The 20,823-nt window shown below is 43.9% G+C and overlaps 1 long non-coding RNA gene across 1 annotated transcript, besides 2 other annotated features; it reads left to right on the top strand.

The window, feature by feature from the left end:
- Positions 1-1,300: 1,300 nt before the first annotated feature.
- LINC01845 (long intergenic non-protein coding RNA 1845) lies at positions 1,301-19,021 on the top strand. The gene is made up of 7 exons (NR_027110.2): positions 1,301-1,450; positions 3,240-3,359; positions 7,928-8,036; positions 8,776-9,152; positions 14,046-14,188; positions 14,784-14,995; positions 18,121-19,021. It is a non-coding gene; the product is annotated as a long intergenic non-protein coding RNA 1845 (long non-coding RNA).
- Positions 8,765-8,934: an enhancer, noted in NCBI's record as "active region_23549". NCBI's record gives its function as "activates an Ori minimal core promoter by ATAC-STARR-seq in GM12878 lymphoblastoid cells {active_cell/tissue: GM12878}" and the evidence as "EXISTENCE:reporter gene assay evidence [ECO:0000049][PMID:35858748]".
- Positions 10,447-10,786: an enhancer, noted in NCBI's record as "active region_23548". NCBI's record gives its function as "activates an Ori minimal core promoter by ATAC-STARR-seq in GM12878 lymphoblastoid cells {active_cell/tissue: GM12878}" and the evidence as "EXISTENCE:reporter gene assay evidence [ECO:0000049][PMID:35858748]".
- Positions 19,022-20,823: the final 1,802 nt, after the last annotated feature.

Raw genomic sequence — 20,823 nt, 5'->3', positions numbered from 1 at the left:
CACTGTGAATAGGAGATACAGTCATGAAACAGACAGACATAGTCTCTGCCCTCATGGAAGTTAGACATAAAGTGGGAAGACTGACAAAAGACTGACACACTTCAATATAATATTGCTATTATGATGGCAATTATGAAAGCATTCGCATAGACAGTTTACCTAAAATCTGGGGTCAGGGAAGCAATTAAGCTGACGTAATAAGGTGAATACGAGTTCACCAGGCTAAGGTAGGAGAGAGGTGGTGATAAATTGTGTTTCAGACAAAGGAAAGAGTATACGAAGAGGCTAGAAGGCAAGAGATCTCTACTTTTTTTTCCAACTCTCTAGTTGCCTCTACAACCAGAACATAAACTCCTCAGAGCTGTGTTTTGAATTCTTTCTACATTGGGAACAATACCTAGTATAGAGGACTTGCTCAAGAAAAAAGTCTGTTGACCAACGACTATCTGTACTAATATCTAAGGCTAGTTTAAGCCCTCATTTTCCTTTTCTTCAGTGGCAGGTTGAGACTTTGCCTATCTAGATATAGGGTAATATAATGATAACAACAGTGAAAACAGGAACAGTATCAATCAATGCTAAACATCTCTTGAGCCCTTACCATATATCAGGCACTATTCTAAGCAGTATATATATATATATATATATATATATATATATATATATGCAGTTTATTTATATATATATATGCAGTTTATTTATATATATAAGCAGTTTATATATATATAAGCAGTTTATATATATATAAGCAGTTTATATATATATAAGCAGTTTATATATATATAAGCAGTATATATATACAAGCAGTATACATATATATAAATATATATATATATATATATAAAACACACACATATATATATTTAGAAATAAGGTCTTGCCTTGTTGCCCAGGCTGATCTTGAACTCCTGGCCTCAAGCAATTCTCCTATCTAGGCCTCCCAAAGTGCTGGGGTTACAAGCATGAGCCACTGTGCTCAGCCCTACATGCATTATTTAATCCTCACTACCCTTTGAGGTAGTTGTCATTATTATTATTATTACTATTGCCATTTTACACATGAAAATACTAAAGCCAAAAAAGATAAGCAATTTGCGGAGTATGGTGGATACTTCTGATTGACTAACTGATAGTCATTCTCCCTGTCTTCTCCTTGCTAGAAGAACCTCAGTTTTGTTCAGAGGATCGTGTGTTGCAGGGGAGTGGAGTCCTACCCTAGGCCCAGGGGGACGTCATAATTGGCTTAAGTCAATGGTAATCCCATTCGCATTGGTCATGATTATGCATATGAGACACAATTGTACACAAGAAGAAATGAAAAGAAGTCTGCTAGGAATCCTTGCAGACTAAAAGGAGATACATGAGAGAGACTTTCTTTCTGTCTCTGGACATTGTCATCTGTCTGGAGTACCTAGAACTGCAGCAGTCTTCATAGAATCATGAGAGTAAGGTAGGAGAATAGGGTCTAGAGACAGGGAGCTTAAGAGCAACTCATGGCTCTCTTCTTAGAATTGAACCAAAAGGAAAACCCCACCTCTCCATGCCCAGGTGAAAATGGGCTGGAGGCCCCTCCCTCAGCAAAACTCCTTTCCCCGTCAACAAATAGGAAATGCCTCTGATTGGCCATGAGCCCAGCCTTTACCTAGCCCTTTGAATGGCCACAGGCAAAGCCTTCATTTGCATAGGGGCTCTAGCCTCTGATTGGTCACAGGCCAATTCTTCATTCGCATAGGGTTTAACCAACTGGAAGCCTCTAAAGGGTGTTATTAAGTTCTTCTAGTTAATAAAAACCCCAGGGGACATTATACTCAAGGCTCTTGAGCTGCTTGCTCAAGCCCACAAACACTCTATGGAATATACTTTCGCTTTAATATTAACAAATCTGTGCCTTCATCTTCCATTGCTTTGTTTGTGCATTTTGTTCAATTCTTTGCTCAATGTGCCAAGAACCTGAACAACTCATAGTCAAGACTTCCCAGCCAGTAACAAGAGGAGTCAGCTCAAAGAACAAGCTGATAGAAGGAGGATGACAGCCTAAAAGAATAAAAAGAAATTTGTCCTTAACAATGTTATTAAGCTGCCAAATTGGCCAACCCCAGCACTGTCTTTTCTCTGGCCTTGTAATATGATATGCCACATTTCTTCTCATTTAAGATGCCATCAATTGTGAGATGCACCATTACATTGTCTCTGACTAAAAAAAATTGTAATGCTGTCAAATTAACTATGATGCTATATTATCATTTAGAATTTTTAGAATATATTTTTAGAATATACTTTTAGAATTTTTGAATATAGCTAATGAAAAAGTCCATTTAGATTTACTTATGCCTAGATTTTTTATACCACATATCACTCCTGTGCATTTAAATTTAAATATAAATTTACTAATTTAAAGTAAATTTAGCTGGGCACAGTGGCCCATGCCTGTAATGCTAGCACTTTGGGAGGCCAAGGCAGGCAGATTGCCTGAGCTCAGGAGTTTGAGACCAGCCTGGGCAACACAGTGAAATCCCGTCTGTACCAAAATACCAAAAATTAGCCGGGTGTGGTGGCGTGCGCCTGTAGTTCCAGCTACTTGGGAGGCTGAGGCAGGAGAATTGCTTGAACCCAGGAGGCAGAGGGTGCAGTGAGCCAAGATAGCGCCATTACACTCCAGCGTGGATGACAGAGTGAGACTCCATCTCCAAAAATAAATAAATACATAAATAAATACATACATAAATAAAGTAAATTAGTCAAGGTATTCCTAAATCTGCTTTACATTGAGTCAAACTCTCTTGAATCACTTGTCCAATCAGAGTTATCAATGTTCTAGTTTTTCCACATACGCTTGTCCTCTGTAACATGAAGAACATTGGTGATGCTGTGTTTCTTAAGAAAGTGCCCTTCTGTAATCTCTGGAGTTGTTCCCAAGAGGCCATCACCATTCTGCAGGTTCGAAGCACAAGGGCAGGCAATGCTTAGCAACAGCAATTGCATAACATACCTCATATCAGAGATGTTAAAAATATAAAATGTATGTGTGTGTATACACACGTGTGCATGCTTCTTAGGTTATAAAAAGGGGGCTAACAATTTTTTCTTATTGTTAACACACTTTTAGTTTGGTTTCTATTATTTGCAGTAAAATGCTTCCTTTCTGATTCAAAGGTCATCAGTTTAATAAGTATCAGAGCTTAGATTTGAACCCAGTCATTATAGCTCCAGCCTAGGCTTCTGATCACTATGTTAAACAGCTTTTGTGTTTTAGATAAAGTGGCAGATCTGATTTGTTGATAGCAATTCCCTGGAGTGTTGCATTGAGAAGATTCTGAGGCCTTGGTCTACTATCTGTGACTGCCATGGAATCCTGAGTGGTGAGTCATATTGTACAAAACACATATTTACCTTTCTTAGATAATTGTCTGAACTCTCAACTTTCATTCAAAGCCATGGATTCCTACAGCTAGAATGGGACCAGCCTCAATCTAAACATTTCAGGGTTAATAGTCAGGATAAAAGGATATGCAAATTATGTATTGCACATCTCCAGAGGGTACCATTCACATAGACTATGGTGTAAATGGCAGTCCCTGGTTACGTGCAGTAAACAACTTGCACAATTGTCCATGGCAGGCCTTCAAATAGTAATTCTCTATTTCAACATCATGTATACAAACTTCACAGCTAATTGCAATCATTTATTCTGAAATTTTATACCCAGTATGAAGGTCAAGTTATTTTTATGTCTAATTAAATTTCTCCTGTTTAAATTGAATTTTCTTCCTGGATGACACAGACTTAAGAATAATACAAAGCATTTAGTCTGGCTCTGTGGAGGCTTGATATTCATCAAACATAAGTGAATCATTAAAAATCTTTCATATATTTGAAGGCAATAATTAAGTCTCCTATTCTCATTAGCTTCTCCAGTTAAACAAACCCAATTTACTTCACAAGCTATTACTATGGGTCAGGAACTATCCATGCTAAGCACTTTGATTCAGGACAACCTTTCATCCTCACTATAACGCTATAAGGTGGGCAGTTATCCCATCTTATGGGTGAAGATGGTGGTGGGTAGAAGTGCAGATGCTGAAGTCAGACTACCTGGATCCAAAATATCCTGCTCCATATGACCTTGTGCAAGTCACTTAGTCCCTTTATGCTCCCGTTGCCTCAACAATGAAATGGAGATATTGCAGTACCTACTTCATAGGATCGCCTCAGTGTTTCTAGGATTCAGCATAATGTCTGGCACTTAGTAGATAATCAACACTCTTTTGCTGGTATTGTGATTATAGTTCCAACATTCCACATGCAGGAAGGGACTGAGCAGGGATTTGAACTCCAGGACGCTTTTCCCCACTCTGCCTCTCTAACTCTGCCACAGATTTGAAAAGGACTTTAGAGACTCTGTCATCCAAACTCTTCGTTTCACAAACAGGGGACCAGAGGCCCACCAAGGATCATTCTTACACACTTCGCTACCATGGAAAACAGGGCTCTCAGAATAGCCACTCTTGGCCTGGCACATTGATTCACACTTGTAATCCCAGCACATTGGGAAGTCAAGGCGGGTGGATCCCTTGAGCCCAGGGATTCAAGACCAGCCTGGGCAACATGGTGAGACCTCGTCTCTACAATAAATAACAAAAATTAGCCAGGCATGGTGGTGAGCCTATAGTCCCAGCTGCTCAGCAGGCAGAGATGCGAGGAATGTCTGAGCCAGGGAGGTCGAAGCTGCAGTGAACCGTGATCATGCCACTGCACTCCAGCCTGGGTGACAGAGTGAGGCCCTGTCTCAAAAAAAAAAAAAAGAATAGCCACTCTGTCACCTGTTTTAATGCTTCAGACCTATCTACTGGGTTGTTTCCCCTCCCATTGGCATGAATGGAGAGGCTTTTGAGGAAAAAAAAATAGCCAACTTATAACAAATAACTTGAAGCTATGTTCTGGTTTTTGGCAAGAGCTCTTCCTCCTGCAATGCCAAACTGACAGAGCTTCAGAGGAGTTCCTGGGCCTGGAACCTCCCAGCAAACCTAGGACCTCGCCCAGCCCAGGAGCAAGTGCATGCTTGGAAACCCCAGAGCCCTACAGCAATTATAGGGCATTATTTGCTTGCCCTGAGGACTTCTTTTGTGAATTAATGTCTCCTATTAAATATGAAATCCAAGATAATAAATTGTCCTAAAGGGCTCAGATGTCTTTAATCGTGGTTTTATCTACTCCCCCAGGCCTGGTGACTTCTAATGAGTTCCAGCTCACATCCTGAATGAATTATCGTTGGAGGAGTGTGTGCACTCAGTGAAAATAAACTAGCAGAGACTCATGTTTACTCTTTAATTCCCTATCCAAAAATAGTTTCCTTTTTAAAGAATATTTTTCAAATAGAGGAGTGAATGCTGACTAGCCCCTTGTGTTTTGTTCCCCATGCTCCCAAAAAAGAGCCACACACACAGTTGGATTTATGGACTACAGTAATACGAACTTGAAACATCTGTGACCTTCGACAAGTCTTTTCCCTATCCCAGGCCTCGGTTTATTCATCTATAAAATGAGGAGACTGATAGCTACCTCTCATGGCTGTTAGGAGGATTCATGCAAATAAACTGTCTAGTTCAGCATATATAGTCAACGTTGAGTCTTTGGAAAGGTTAATTTTTTTTTTTTGGAGAGATGGAGTCTCGCTGTGTCGCCCAGGCAGAGTGCAGTGGCACAATCTCAGCTCACTGCAACCTCCGCTTCCCAGGTTCAAGCAATTCTCCTGCCTCAGCCTCCTGAATAGCTGGGACTACAGGTGCACGCTGCCAGGCTTGGCTAATTTTTTTTGTATTTTAGTAGTGATGGGGTTTCACCGTGTTGCCCAGCCTGGTATTGAACTCCTAAGCTCAGGCAATCTGCCCGCCTCGGCCTCCCAAAGTGCTAGGATTACAGGCATGAGCCACTGTGCCCGGCCTATATTTTATAATGCTATAAAAAGTTGTGTATAAATTGAATTTGGGAAATCCATCCTGTTTTCCTATTGATTTACTTGATTTCAGAGATACTTCATCTTTTTACTTTACTTCTGCCAGAATTATAACAGATGATGGCTCCAAAATGATTTTCTGCCTGCCTCTGCTTTCTCTAAAATAGTCATGATCTATAAGCAAATTCTTAAATGCCTTAGGGAATTATGTTGATAGGAATCCTGTGTTGAAGTAATGCAGTTGCCTATAAAATAAAGTATCACCTCCTAAATGATCCGGCTTGTAAGTTGGTATATTGAGTTTCCATAAGTTGAATCTACACCATGAGGATCTCTCCATTTCAATTTCCCCAGATACCTCATTGGTTAAAAAAAAAAATTAGGTGCAATTATTTTATGCTTTGAGAAGGGGAAGGATGAAGCTGCCCCCACTGCTTTCTATAGGATAGGTTACTGTTGCTGTTGTTTAAAGCTTTAATTTCTTAGAGCAGTTTTAGGTTCATATCAAAATTGAAAGGAAGGTACGGAATATCCCATACACCCTCTGCCCTGACACAAGCGTAGCCTCCTGTATTATCAACATCTCCCACCCCAGTGGTGCATTGGTTACAACTGATGAACCTCCATCGACACATCATCACCCAAAGTCCATAATGTATACAGTAGTGCCCGCTTATCCCCAAGGAATAGTTCCAAGACCCCCAGTGGACGCCTGAAACCTGGGATAGTACTGAACCCCATACACAATATGTTTTTCAGTCCTAACGAGTGGGTAGCATAGACAGTGTGGATATGCTGGACCAAGGGAAGATTTAAGTCCCAGGTAGGACAGAGCAAGATGGCTCAAGATTTCATCCACGCCACTCAGAATGGTGTGCAATTTAAAACTTGCCAATTGTTTATTTCTGGAATTTTTGTTTACTATTTTTGGACCACAGTTGATCACAGGTGACTGAAACCTTGGAAAGCAAAACCTCAGATAAGGGAGACTACCACATAAGGGTTCACCCTTGGTGTACATACTGTAGATTTGGACAAATGTATGATGACATGCATCCACCATGATAGTCTCATACAGGGTAGTTTCACTGACCTAAAAATTCTCTGCACTGTGCTTATTTATTACTCTCTCCAGGCTAACCCCTAGCAACCACTGGTCTTTTCACTGTCTCCATAGTGTTGCCATTGTTTTGTTTTGTTTTGTTTGTTTTCTATAATTACTTCTTCTTTCAGCATCTGGAAGAGGAAAGGGCTTGTAGGCAGGGTCCCTCCCAGCCCTGGTGGTGAGGGAATAGCTTTGAGTGTGAGCATGTGAATCTCAGAGTGGGTGAAAGGAAGAGAGCTGAACTTCTGAACGGGAGCCTGAGTCTGGGTGGAGATGGAGCCACTGACAGAAAGAGCCCTTTGTCCAAACAGCCACCATCTCTCTTCCCAGCACCTTTTGCCCCCTTCCCTCATGCATTCCTTACAGGGCTGCTGCAACCCCACCGAGAAGAAACCAAAACCCGGAGGGACTCTAGTCAAGGGCACCATGACTTCCTCTTCCACTCTGAGGGAATGAGTCATCCTCTGGTTTCTCCATTGATTAAAAGAAGAATATAAATATGTACTCCCCTGGGGGAAACCATGCAGTCTAAGGATGAAACCTCAGCCATTATTTATATGTTTAAGATCTACTTTGGTCCTGGCAGGTGCGTCAGGTTATGAGGAGGCACTCTGAGAAGGAAGCCAAGAGCAAAAGATTAGAAAAGAAAATAGTTGAGGATATTTTCACCTAAACTCCTGTTGTGGGTATAAAATTCACAGTCACAATTCTGGAAAAACTGTTTCTATGATTGACACAAAAAAACCAAATCAATCTTTTTACATCAAGATAACACCACTCAAAAGAGATTACAGCCCATCTCTTTTGAGTAATTTATTCACCTGAATTGAAAGTTCTCTCTCTCCCTTTTCTCCTTCTTGTCTCCCCAGGAGCGAAATTAAGTTCCCAGACTTGTTATACCCTCCTGACTTGTTCTCCCCTTCCTTGGGAAGGGCATCTGTTCCAGGCAGGTAACACCTGTCATCCTGGCTGGTCTAGGTAACACCCAATGTCATGGCTGGGCATTGGCTTTTTTCCTTATCACACACACTTCTAAAGTGTCCACAGCTGATGCGACAGTGGCACAGTAAATGTAGGTTGTCCTCCCTGTGACTCGGCCTCCACTTGGTTCTCTTGATCCTGTTGTGCTCTCTCTCTCAGCCCCAACTTTTGGCTCATCCATACTAAGACTCTGCCACAGTGTCCCCTCAAACCACATCACAATGATCCCATGCAAATAACTGGTTCTGACTTCTTAACTACCTTCCTCTACTCTACCACAGGGCATTGAACATTTTCAGATCTCACACACACCCACTGGACCTGAGGGAAACTCAGAGACAGAGTACTGGGGAATATCTCAAATCCTTTCCACTCAAAATGCCAGCATACTGCTCAACTGAGGCCACCTCATGTTGGCATGGGGCACCCCAACAGACAAGTGGTCTCTTCCCAGGATTTAGATCCTGTTTTTAGATCTCCAGCCCTCTCCACTCCTTGATGGGTTCTACACAAAGCAGGAGGGAAGGGGCAGGTAGAGGATAATCATTCTATCTTCAACCTGTTCAGAGTGTTGATGTGAATCCTTAGAGTATCCAAGGAGAAAATGTACATAAGACATTAAGCATGGGGCCTGGCACAGAGAAAGTGCTCTATCCATCTTACAAAGATTAAAGTATCCTCATCAGCTAGCACAGTCTAATATGTAATCAGTTACTTGATTGATTTGTTAATATAGCTGTGTTCTCGTCACCCATGCCGGCACAGTACCTTACACGTAAGAAGAGCTCAGAAATTCTTTGCTGAATTCATTCATTTTGAGGCATAAAATCCAATCTTCCTGAAGATAAGTCCTTTCCACTGAACTGGTGGGGTGTGGGGAAAGGGGTTGCTGGTACTTCATCTGGGGACCCCGAAGGGACCAGGATATGAGTTGGCTAGAAAAGGGGCAGGTAAGTATGGGGCTTTCCCACCCACAGTAGTCCTGCTTCATGTTCTTCTTTCACAATTATTTGACAGGGCACCCCATGAAATCAAGTGGCTAAGTCAGATTTAGGAAGTGGTTTTGAAATTGATGGGTGCAGGGAAGTACCCTTGAGTCAAAATCAGAAGAAAGTGAGTATTGCTGATTAAACACACTCCTCTTATGTTTGGGATGCAGCTGATGGGAAGCAGCTGTGGGAGGTGACACAGCAACAGGAGGGCCTCAGAACTGTGCCTCGCATACATCGGGAACATAAATGGTGAACGAGTGAATGAATGAATGAATGAATGCTTCCAGATGGGCATTCTAAACTTCATGTTTTTTGTTTGTTTGTTTGTTTGTTGTTTTTTTGTTTTGAGATGGGGTCTTGCTCTGTCACCCAGGCTGGAGTGCAGTGGCATAATCTCAGCTCACTGCAACCTCTGCCTCCTGGGTTGAAGCAATTCTCCCTGCCTCAGCCTCCTGAGTAGCTGGGATTACAGACACCCACCACCACGCCCAGCTAATTTTTGTATTTTTAGTAAAGATGGGGTTTTGCCATGTTGGCCAGGCTGGTCTCGAACTCCTGACCTCAGGTGATCTGCCTGCTTTGGTCTCCCAGTGCTGAGATTACAGGTGTGAGCCACCGCGCCTGGCCTAAACCTCACGTTTGATCCCCCTTTGTTCTGGGGTCACCCTGGTGTATGTTACTAGACAACACCTTGGCTATCTGAGCTTCCAAAATTGATGCAGATAGAACAGGAAATGCCCTTGGTGCACCTGTCACCTGAGCAGTAGTCTTTGCCCACTATGCAGTCTTTCATCCCCCACCCCCCTCCCTCCCTTCCTCTTGAGTCTCCAAAGTCCATTATGTCATTCTTATGCTTTTGCATCCTCATAGCTTAGCTCTCACTTATAAGTGAGAACATATGGTATTTGGTTTTCCATTCCTGAGTTACAGTAAGTTCTGTTTTATAGCAGAGTAGAGTAACTATAATTAACAACAATGTATTATATATTTCAAAATAGCTAGAAGAGAGGAATTAAAATGTTCCCAACATAGAGGAATGACAAATACTCAAGGTGATGGAAACCCTAAATACCCTGACTCGATTATTACACATTTGATGCATGAAACAAAATATCACATGTACCCCATTATATATCAATAAAAAAATTCAAAAAACATTTAAAAAAACAGCAAATGCCCAAAAGAGCATGATTCATTATTGCACATACATGAACAAATCCCTGGCACACCACACTTCAGCCCAACAGCAAATTAAACAAAAGCTAGCTACCTCAGAATGTCCTACAGTCTACTCAGTGTGGGCATCTGAGATGCATAAGAACCAGTAATCAGAGCTTTGTGGCAGGGCTGTAGGAATAAAATGTAATTCCTGCCATCAAGATACTTGTAACCTAGTTGGGAGAAAAAATAAACACAGAGATATAGATCTATTCACACTAGGAAATATGTTTGAAATTACATTTGGGTGATATAGTCATTTCATGCTACAGGTTCTGAAAATAGCAGGTGATATCTTGGAGGACCACAGAGGTGAGGGGAGACTTTCTGGAAGAGATGAGATGGCCTGAGTCATGAGCATGACTCAGATTCAGACAGAAAGTGGCTGGTGGAAGGGGGAGTCCCTGAACACTGAGGAGGCTGCATTTACATTTGTCACCTTGCTGGAGGATCCTCTGAGAAGACAATGGGGAGAGTCCCAGCTAATAATAATAGTCACCACATGTCAGGCATTGGGCCAAGAGTTTGGCATGAATTATCTCAGGGAATCTCTTCAACAACTCTCCCAATATCATGTGGCAGATACAGCTGGAGTCTCTTCTTCCTCCTTTGTGACAGGACTTCAATTTTGTTTGAGGCAACTATATGTTCAGTTAAAATACTTGATATCCCAGCTTTTTTTTTGCAGATAGTGTTGGTCATCTTGGCATAGTGTGTCCAACAAAGTATAAGATGTAGTCAGTGAATGGGGCTTTCCAGAAAGCTCTCCAAAGGGGTACAGATGTGGCTGGCTCACGTCTTCAGCTTCCTGCCATTTTCTCCATTCCCCTTTATCTTGCCTGCAACCAGGGCAGCCACCCTGTGGCTCTGGATGATTCTGGGAGCCTGTGTCCTTGATGAGTCCCTGGAACAATGGTACCAACCCTGGCTTGCCCACTTCTGAACTACTTATTGCATGAGAAAAACAAACTCCTATTTGGTTAAGTCACTGCCATCTAACCTCTGTGATTTCCAGCACATGCAATCTTAACACATATAGACAGGTGATGTTCGTACCTTGTTCACAGACTGGGAAACCAAGGCTCAGTAAGTGTCACTACTCATAAGCAGCAAATCCAGTATTTAAATCCAGACCAATGCAGAACAAGGCTGGTTGACTCCAAAGCTAGACTGAGAACCTGTGAAACTACTCCAGAGTCACATTAAAAATTAAAGAAAGAAAGCAAAGCAACCTTTAGCAACTTTTTAACCTCTCATATAACCTTTTCACAACCTACCTTTTATTAGATACTGGTAGGTGTCTCTCACTCCCAAAACACTGCTTCAGAATCTCCTAGAAGGCAGGACCAGGACTACAGCTTTAATCATGCTTATAGCACCAATTTCTTCCCCATTTCCCCATGCCCAGCTCTGGCTATGTGGGCACCCAAAAATACTGGATGGATTTAGTTTTTTTAAAAATCACTCAGGATAAAACTCAGGATTAAAAACATCACTCAGGATAACTGTCTCTGGGAAAGCCATCCCTTTATGTATGTGTGTGTGTGGTTGTGCATGTGTGCCTGAGGGTGTGTGTCACATTGTGCACATATGTGTAAATGGGTATCCAAGTGTCTGAGAGCAGGGGAAGAGGGAGAACTTTTTTATTGCTGTCAAATTCCATCCTTCCACTCAGCTCCTACAGACCTACAGTGACAGCACCAATGATTATATTAGCGATAACTAAACTTTTGTGCAGGACCTGAAAATTTAATTTCCTTGTGGGAAGCGGTAGAGAACTAAGCTTATTTGGGGCCAAGAACTCATGAACTTTCCCAGAAAAGAAAGAGAGAACAGCACATATAGCCACTGGCCTCTGATTTTTCTTGAAAAATAAAAAGGCACAAGCTCATTTTCAAATGTCTCCTTTAGAAACAGCTCCAGATTCGTTTTTCTCTGTACATACCCCACATCAGAGTGGGTAGGAAGACATAGCAGCCCTTGAAAACTCATTGAATTCATTCCAATTTATTCTGTGATTTGTGATTTTTTTCTTTTTTGTTTAAAGAAGTATAATTCCATCATTTTTTTTTCTTCTCAAGTTGCTTGGATGGTCAAGACCCTGTGATATATACTGCGTGTTCACCATGCACTAGAAACTGTTTTAAGAGTGTTTGCATGCTTTATCTCAGCTAATGTTTCCACTTTGAAGATCAGAAATCTGAGGCACAGAGAACATAAGTAACTTGCCTAGGGTCACATAGCCAAAAAATGGCAGAACTGGGATCCAAGCCCAAGCAATGTAGCTGCAATGCCCAAGACCTTAACCATACCATTGTATAGCCTCATAAGTCTGGAACTCCCCTCCTGGTGTCTGAGGATATGAGTTCTTTGAATATAAGCAAAAAATGGCACCTCTGCTTAATTTAAGCCAAAAAAAAAAAAAAAGAAAGAAAGTGGAAGGAGAGGAGAGGCACATGATCCATGGTTTTGAGAGGCAAAATCCCAGGAGAGCCTCCTTGTCCCCATCTTAGTTGAAGCTCATCCATTGAGTAGGGCTGGGCTGGGGACCTAAGCTAATCATCCCAGGTTGCTTGTGAAGAAATGGAAGGTGTGCCACCAGACCAAGAGGATATGGATATAAGGCAGGAGAAAATGAGGCATGTATATGCTGCCATGTCACCAAGAAAGGAACAGATCTGGAATGGAAGTTAGTTAATTTGAGGTTGAATTCTGATATAAACTTGGTACCATGAGATTGACATTCAGGTATTTTCAAAGTGATCCACCCTTAGAATTCATCCATTCACTCAATTGTGAATGTTCTTTCACTAAATAGTCCTTATTGTGCCCAAGTAGGGTACTGGGAGATTCACTATCCCCAAAGGGCTCCCAAAGAATGGTCAGGTGAGGACATCAGACATATGTGCCCATTCACGTTCCAAGCTCCATTACACATCATTGATAATCAGATGCAGGGATAGGTTCTGGGCATACAGCAATGACAAGTCAGATACAGTCCTTAACTTCCATGAGGCATATGCTCTGCATGCCTAATCCTTCAGCAGATATGACAAACTAGGATGAGCATTGTGATGGGGCAGTGCAATGGTCTGGGAAGGCATATAGCAGAGGAATGCAATTTGGAACATCCTGGATATTTTCCATTTAGCCACTCCCAGATCCACTTTCCACCTATTTCTATCCTTTTTTATACCCCCAGGAGGATCACATTTATGGATCCTTTGGTCCACTGGATCTTTGATCCACTGGCTCCCAGCTAGGTTCAACCAGTGGAGGCACTGGCAGGAGATTGGAGAGAAGAAGGAGGAGAACAAGATGGAGACATTTATTTGCCCAGCTCCCTCCCTGATAGGTGGCTATAGATTGGCTGCCTCCCTCTGCATGAGGCCACAGGTCCCCTGAGTTGCCCTGTCCTACATCCCTACAGCTACCACCACCTGGCCCCAGTAAGTGCTCCCTTCCTGCCTGTTCTAGCTTAGCAGGGGAGTGGCTGCCAGACCTTCTTAGCTCGTACTTTTCTTGTCAGATTCCCTTAAATCTGCCCACACCTTCAGGAAAGCCCTTTTATTTACTTTGTTTGAGTGAACCATGTTTCCTATAGGGGGAAGTAAGGTTTACCTAGGAAGTGACATAAAAGCAGATACATATAATTTAAGCAAAAATAGCAGACGGTAATGCACGAGGCGACCTGCAGAGCAATTAGTCCCAAAAGTAACTACCATGTGTGTTCTGTCAAAGAACTTTCATTCCCAGTCTTATTAATTCAATATTGTAAATGATATGTTAAAAATAGTGGGGGAATGCCGAAGAAACACTCAGAGTTAATGAGATGAATCCCCCTACATGAGCATTGTGGGATGTCTGCCCAACCCACACAGCCAAGATATGCTCCTTCAGGTGTGTCCTGCCCACCGACCACAGCTGACTGAACCACAGGTAGGCAGACACCAGGCCTAAGCTGGGCCAATGAGTTCCTCCCTTTTTGGGGACTGCGACTCAAGCACGTTCCTCCTTCTCTGCCGCCCACTTCTGAGGATAAGCAGAGGCCAGAGTTCCGGGTCCCACTTGCCATCACTGCACACAAACGTGCAGCAGCAGTCCATTGAGCATGTATGGTCCTCACTTATTTGTGTGTTTTTAACTGAGTCTCCTGGCAGATGGCAATTACAATATTTCTTGAAGGGGCAGCTTTTCTAATTGGTGCAATTGGGCCATGGGCAGGGCTGGGTATCCTCATGTCATACGTCCACCAATGCAGTGAAAGCCAGTCCAGAGAGAGAAGAGATGAGGTAGACATTCAGAGGAGCCAGAGATGAGAGACTGTGGCACCCAAAGTGAGAAGCTGTGAGAGCACGTCCCCAAGGCGCCTGTGCCACTTCCGGTCCAATCAGCCATTTCCACCCCTGGCTTCCCTAAGCTGCCTCTTACAATCAGTTCCCATAATTTGCTGAGGCGAGTTTGAGGAACTTTCTATTACTCGTCTAGGGGGATAACATTTCTAAGCTATTAACCAATGTGCTCTTTATTCTAGAATTTCCTTTTACCCCGGGCTGCTCCCCTTTTTGTGTTCAGCCCAGCAGTCTGCCTTCATTCCCTCAAGGAAGAGCTGACATAAAAGAAAGCAAAGGGGTGGCAAAAAAAAGAAGTTAATGATTAACCTTGAGCTTCAAGAGCTTAAGCATAGGCAAATAGGAAGGCTTCGTGCACATACAACATATTTGAGAGAATATGAGTGGAGTAAAGGTAAGGCGTCCTATTCCCAGAATGGAAAGACGTCCCTAGGCTGGAGAGTAAGGGGGCGGGGAGAATACAGACCAATTAGGACCTAATTTGTAGGACTCAAGGACAAGGTGGGAAAGCGTCTAGAGATGGCTCAGGCTCTGCTTGAGTCAGCACTGTCCTTCCATATTGCCCAGGAGCTATGCAGACCACTGGAGACACACCAGGGTCCATTCCACTGAGCACCATATGTTTCCTGAGCTAAGGCACCTGGGAAAATCCCCCCACCATGGGAGCCAGCACCTCACCACTGACTGCAGAAATGAGGTCCATCAGACTCTGGTACTTTCTTCAGTCCACTCTGAGCCACCCACCTTCTGTGGCACCCACCAACCAGAGTGACCACTTCAGCAAGCACTGTACATAGTATCGCCAGAGTAGCAGGATCAAGTGATGCGGCCACTTAGAGAACTTGTAGTTCAGCAAGAAATGAGACTTGATAAAAATATCATTTTATCTTTGTGGGCAAGCTGAGAAAATGAGGGTAAGATGGCAGCACATTTGGGGGAATTGGGAACCATCCGAACAACCGATGTGCTTGAAGCCTGATTAATTATGCCAGGGTCCACTTCGAAAGCAGTCTCTGTCCTCAGTCCTCAACTCTGTCCTATTCAGGTGGCAGCTAATCAAAGTAGAGGCCATTTCCTGACTCAGCAGAAAAGAGAGTCATGATCAGCTGCAAGGTCTGCCACGGCTCAGACGTGGCACCCGGCACACGCTCCTGCCATTTGCTTTCTCTGCCCTCTACCACAGCATCCCTGCCACACCTCTTTTCCTCCTGAGCAAGGACCACCCAGAAGTCACTCTATGGCTTACTTTTTGTGTTGTGAGTACCAGTAAGCCACTCAAATGGACTACAGAAATAAAGGAAAGGTATATTAAAAGGATACAGGGTGTCTCCGAGAACCCTGGAGAGGAGCTCATCTGGATTCTTTCCTAGGCACACTACCACAATGAGCAAAATCTAATAAACTAAACAATTCTGCAGTTGGATTTTTTAAAACTCCAATTGCACCAATCCTAGATGGGAAGGAATGCAGCTTGATGCTAGCACATGTGATAAAAACACTTAGGATTTTGACTGCCAGCTCAGAATGAGTCAACAATGTGATGTGACTGCCAAAAAAGCCAGTGTAATCTCGGGCTGCACTAAACAGAGAGGAGTGATGGTGCGGCCTTCAGTTCAGAGAATCATGTATCAAGGCCCAGTGAACAGAGAAGGGCGGCCAAGGAGGACTCAGAATCATGCCGTATGGGGGAAAATAATGGGAGTACCTGGGATATTGCCGTCTGGCCTCCTTTTCAGGGATTGGTGGGAATGTTCTGGACCTGAGCTTACCAGTAAAGAGTCTAGGGTTAGACTGCCTGAATTGAAACCCCAACCCAGCTACTTACTAGCTTTTTCCTACATGCCAAGAATGAGATATTTATTCCTCATCACTACCTTCTGAAGAAATACCATCTTCATCCCTATCATACAGATGAGAAAACTGAGGCACAGAGAGGTTCAGTAGCTTGCCAAAGGTCACACTGCAAGCAAATTGAAGAAATATCCTTTGAATGCAAGGAGAGTGTACTTTCTTTGTTCTTCCCCTAAGCAGCTATACAACCTTGAATCTTGTCACTTCTCACTATACTTCAGTTAGCCCTAGGGCTACGTGACCAAGTACCCCAAAACATAGAGGCTTCAAGCAAAAATTCTTATTTGTTCACAGATCTGCAATCTGGGCAAGACTTGGTGGGGACAGCTCATCTCTGCTCTACTGGGATCAGCTGGGGTGGCTCAAAGGTGGGGTTGGAAGCCTCACTCACTCTCCATTTGGTACCAAACATCTGGAGGCTAGAACAGCAGAGGATCCTTGGACATCACTCTCTGTGGTGTCTCTCCACATGCTCTCTCCAGCACAGCACCTGCAGGGTAACCAAACATTTCACAAGTTGGCTTGTGGCTCCCTGGCATACATCCTGAGACAGACTGAGAGAGCCAGGTAGACGCTTTCATGTCCTAGCCTCAGAAGTCACATCGTGTGACTTCTATCACATCCTTAGTACAATCGGAATAACCACAGTGCTTCCCTGTAAGGACGAATTGAGACAATGCAGGTAAAATGCTTAGCACATTGTCTGGAAGCTGATGAAGATTCTATAAATGTCAGCTGTTGTTATTTTAAAAGTGGCTCAAAAAAGACATCTTAAAAAGACAAATCTGCTACTACTACCAAAAACATGCGTCACGCACCCTTAAGCCCAGCAAATACCTTTTGTCCACTGGTGTCTTTCCTTGCCCCATGTAGTCAGACACTGAAGCTCGCTGCTCTGGGAAGTCACACCTCACCCTCTCGTCCCATCCCTCTGATAAACAAGGCCGGTACTTGGAACTGCCTGGGTTGTGCTTCCCAGGAGGGGTACCTTCGCTGACTCAGCTGGGAAGGCATCCAGTGACTCATCAACTATCAAAAATTGATTAAACATCCTCAGGTCTTGGGAAGGGAGAAAATGCCCAGGAGACCCAAGATCCTCTCTTACCCCAGGACCCCAGTGGTTCCTCAGAGAGGAAAACCTGGGCTTGAAGATTAACTGGGCCTTCATATGAGCGGAGGTGTTAGTCATTCTGGGCACATACACGTCTCCAGCATTAGTAAGAAGAGTTGCCAGCTCCCTTCTGAATATTCAAACTCATGGCTAGCCCCCCTCCCGCATCCATTCCCATGGCTTCAACTACCATCCAAGCTAATGAGTCCTAAATCCATATCTCCAACCCAGAATTATTTCAGGAGCTTGAGACCTGCCCCACTCAGATGTCCCAAAGGGCCCTGAAACTCAGCATGCCCCCCTAATGTTGGACTCACCTCCTTTCCCTCACCCAGACCACGACTCTCAGTGAAGATTTCCATGGTGCACCCAGTGGCCCAAACCAGAAATCCAGCTTACCTTGACACTCCCCTGCTCTGCCCCTCAGGAGTGACCCATCACAGGTTCTGCAGTTTCTACCTCCTAATCTCCCTCTGCCAAGAATTTTCTTAGACAACATCCTCATAGCTTCTGAACCCAACTCTATCCTTCTCCAATTTTCCCCTCGCTGCTGTAAGATCTCTGCCAAATGTAAACATGAGCATCGCCGCTCTGTGTAAGACTCTTCAGTGACTCCCCCTTGCCTTCCAGATAAAGTCCATGTTTCTTAACATGGTTCCAAGGCCTTGCTTGATCCAGTGACTATGCATCCATTACAGGCTGAATTGTGTCCCATAAAATTCATACATTGAAGCCCCAGCCTCCAGTAATTCAGAACATGACTGTATTTGTAGATAGAGTCTTTAACGAGGTAATTAAGTTAAAATGAGGTCATGTGTGGGGGCCCTTAATTCAATATGCCTGACGTCTTTATACAAAAAGGAGATAAGGACACAGACACGAACAGAGGGAAGCCCATGTGAAGGCAAAGAGGAAAATGGCCATTACCACCCAAGGAGAGAGGCCTCAGGAGAAACCAACCCAGCTAACACCTGGATCTCAAACTTCCTGCCTCCAGAATGATGAGAACATACATTTCTGTTGTTTTAACCACCCAGTCGGTGATACTTTGCTCTGGCAGCCCTAGCATCTCTCTCCTTCACCTCCCTAAACCGCCCTCCCCAGGTTATGACACTCTAGCTGTGTGCTCAATGCCCTCTCCACTCCAGGCTGGCCCCACTCTCACCTGGGCATCTACATTGCTCCCACCACTCTTCATCCAGCTAACTCCTTCCTCCATGAAGCCATCCCTGACCTTTAAGTATCTCCTAAGATACCCGCTTCCTTCCCCTCTCAGAGCCCCATGTTACGACTACCCATTTACTCTGTGTCAATACCACACTGTGTGCTACATTAGAACAGGGGCCATATGTATCTTGCTCACATCTGTGCCTAGAACAGTGTCTGGTACCTACAAGTGCTCAATAAATTCTTTTGGATGACTGGCAATTAATGAAAATAAATCAAATAATTCAAAGCTGATCATATTTACTATTTTTTTAAAAAATGAAGTTCATAAATATCTTAATAGAGATTCCCAGTGAAGTCCCCTTTTGAGGGCTTAAGTTTACAAAGCAAAGCCACTCTGTCATAAATTTGTGTTTCTTTGGCCACCAGAGACTTCGAAAGGAGGCCCTAATAGAAGGCAGCTGATTCAAATTTAGTTCGGGCACCAAGACCACGCTTTAACGTGTAACAACATGGTGAGCTGAAGTCACACTCTGGGTCCTTATCTTTGTTTCAGGAAAACTGAGCCCCAGATCTCCTGGCCATCTCACTGGGAGTCGGGAAAAGGCCCGACTGCTTCCATAACAGACAGCAAGAAGCCCTGCACCTCTACAGGCAACCCGTGGCACAGGGACACATATTCATTTTGGTCTGTTTAAGAAATTGATGCATAACGATTGTGCATATTTATGGGGTACATACAGTGTGATGTTTTGGTACATGTATGCATTGTGTAATAATCAGCTCAGGGTAATTAGTGTACCCATCTCTGCCAGCATCTACCACTTCTTTGTAGTGGGAACATTCAAAATTCTCACTTCTAGCTATTTTGACATATAAAACACCTTACTGTTGACGTAGTCACCCTACTGTGTGATAGGACACCAGAACATTCTGGTCTTCACCGACACCTTCTCCTGGAAGTGCTACTGCCATCCCCACCTTATGAGAATGGGCCCGGGCTTCTGGGTGCAAACCACCTCCCTTACCCCATCAGCTGAGAGTTCACTGATGCTGTGAGGAGCCAAGAGAAACTTCACTCTCATGTCATTTTGGCTCCAAGCATTCCCCGCTGAGGTATTGGAGCTTTGCCTGCAGTTTACCCCTGAGGAGTGAATCTGGATTCTCTAAATTAAGACCCATTTGTTTACGAGATAAAGAACCAAATTCTAGCTCCTTTTGGAGTGAGGATGATGATCCATTCCAAACAAATCCCACCCACCAGACCTCCCAGCCCCTTCCCTGGTTTGTTTCCATCCATGTCACTTTCCCCCATCACCTAACTTAGGTATTTGATTTATGTGCTCATCAGCTGTTCCCCTTCCCCAATGCCTGTCATCACCAGTATAGTGAGGGGGCTCTGTGAGGGTAAGGATTCACTCTGTTCTGTACCCCGCTATTTCTCTGATGCCTAGCACATTCCTTGGTACATAATAGGCTCCCCACCTGTGTCTGTTGAGTGAATAATATGTATAAATGAATGAATGAATAAATGCACATACTCCCTTCTTTCCTCCACAAACACATGGAGATGAGTCTCCACTCTCATCACTACCTTGGTGATTCCCCTTAATTCCATGGCAGGGGATCCCCTCTGGTGCCCTTTATACCTTACTTTTCTCCAAACAGGATTTCTGTGTGTATGCCAACATCAGCATCTGGTCCATCTGTGGATATTGCCTGGGGCCCTATAAATGTCCCTCTAGGACCAAGGCAGTTTCTGGCCATAGAATGAAACCAGCCATGACTCCATTGATTCCAAAACCCACATAAACAGAACTACCAGGGGCCTGGGGTCCCTGCCCCCTGCAGGCAGAAGTTCTCAGGTTAACAAGAGCCTGAGGCCAGGACCTTGGCTGTGGTGGTGTTGGAGACACCCAGGGTCCACCAGCAACTGCTGCCTGGGGACAGACTGGAGGAGAGGTGGTGGCCTGGAGACTCTGAGGGCAGGTGGACGTGGCGCAGCATGAAGGGTCAGGATCTGGACTCCTGTGTTGATTCCACCAGCCCTGGTAAACCATTCAGAGCTCCTGAGCCTCACCTATAACCAGCTG

Source organism: Homo sapiens, chromosome 5 (assembly GCF_000001405.40).
Source record: "Homo sapiens chromosome 5, GRCh38.p14 Primary Assembly".
Classification (NCBI taxonomy): domain Eukaryota; kingdom Metazoa; phylum Chordata; class Mammalia; order Primates; family Hominidae; genus Homo; species Homo sapiens.
The sequence above is the reverse complement of the archived record's forward strand: the minus strand, read 5'-3'. Positions and strand labels throughout refer to the sequence as shown.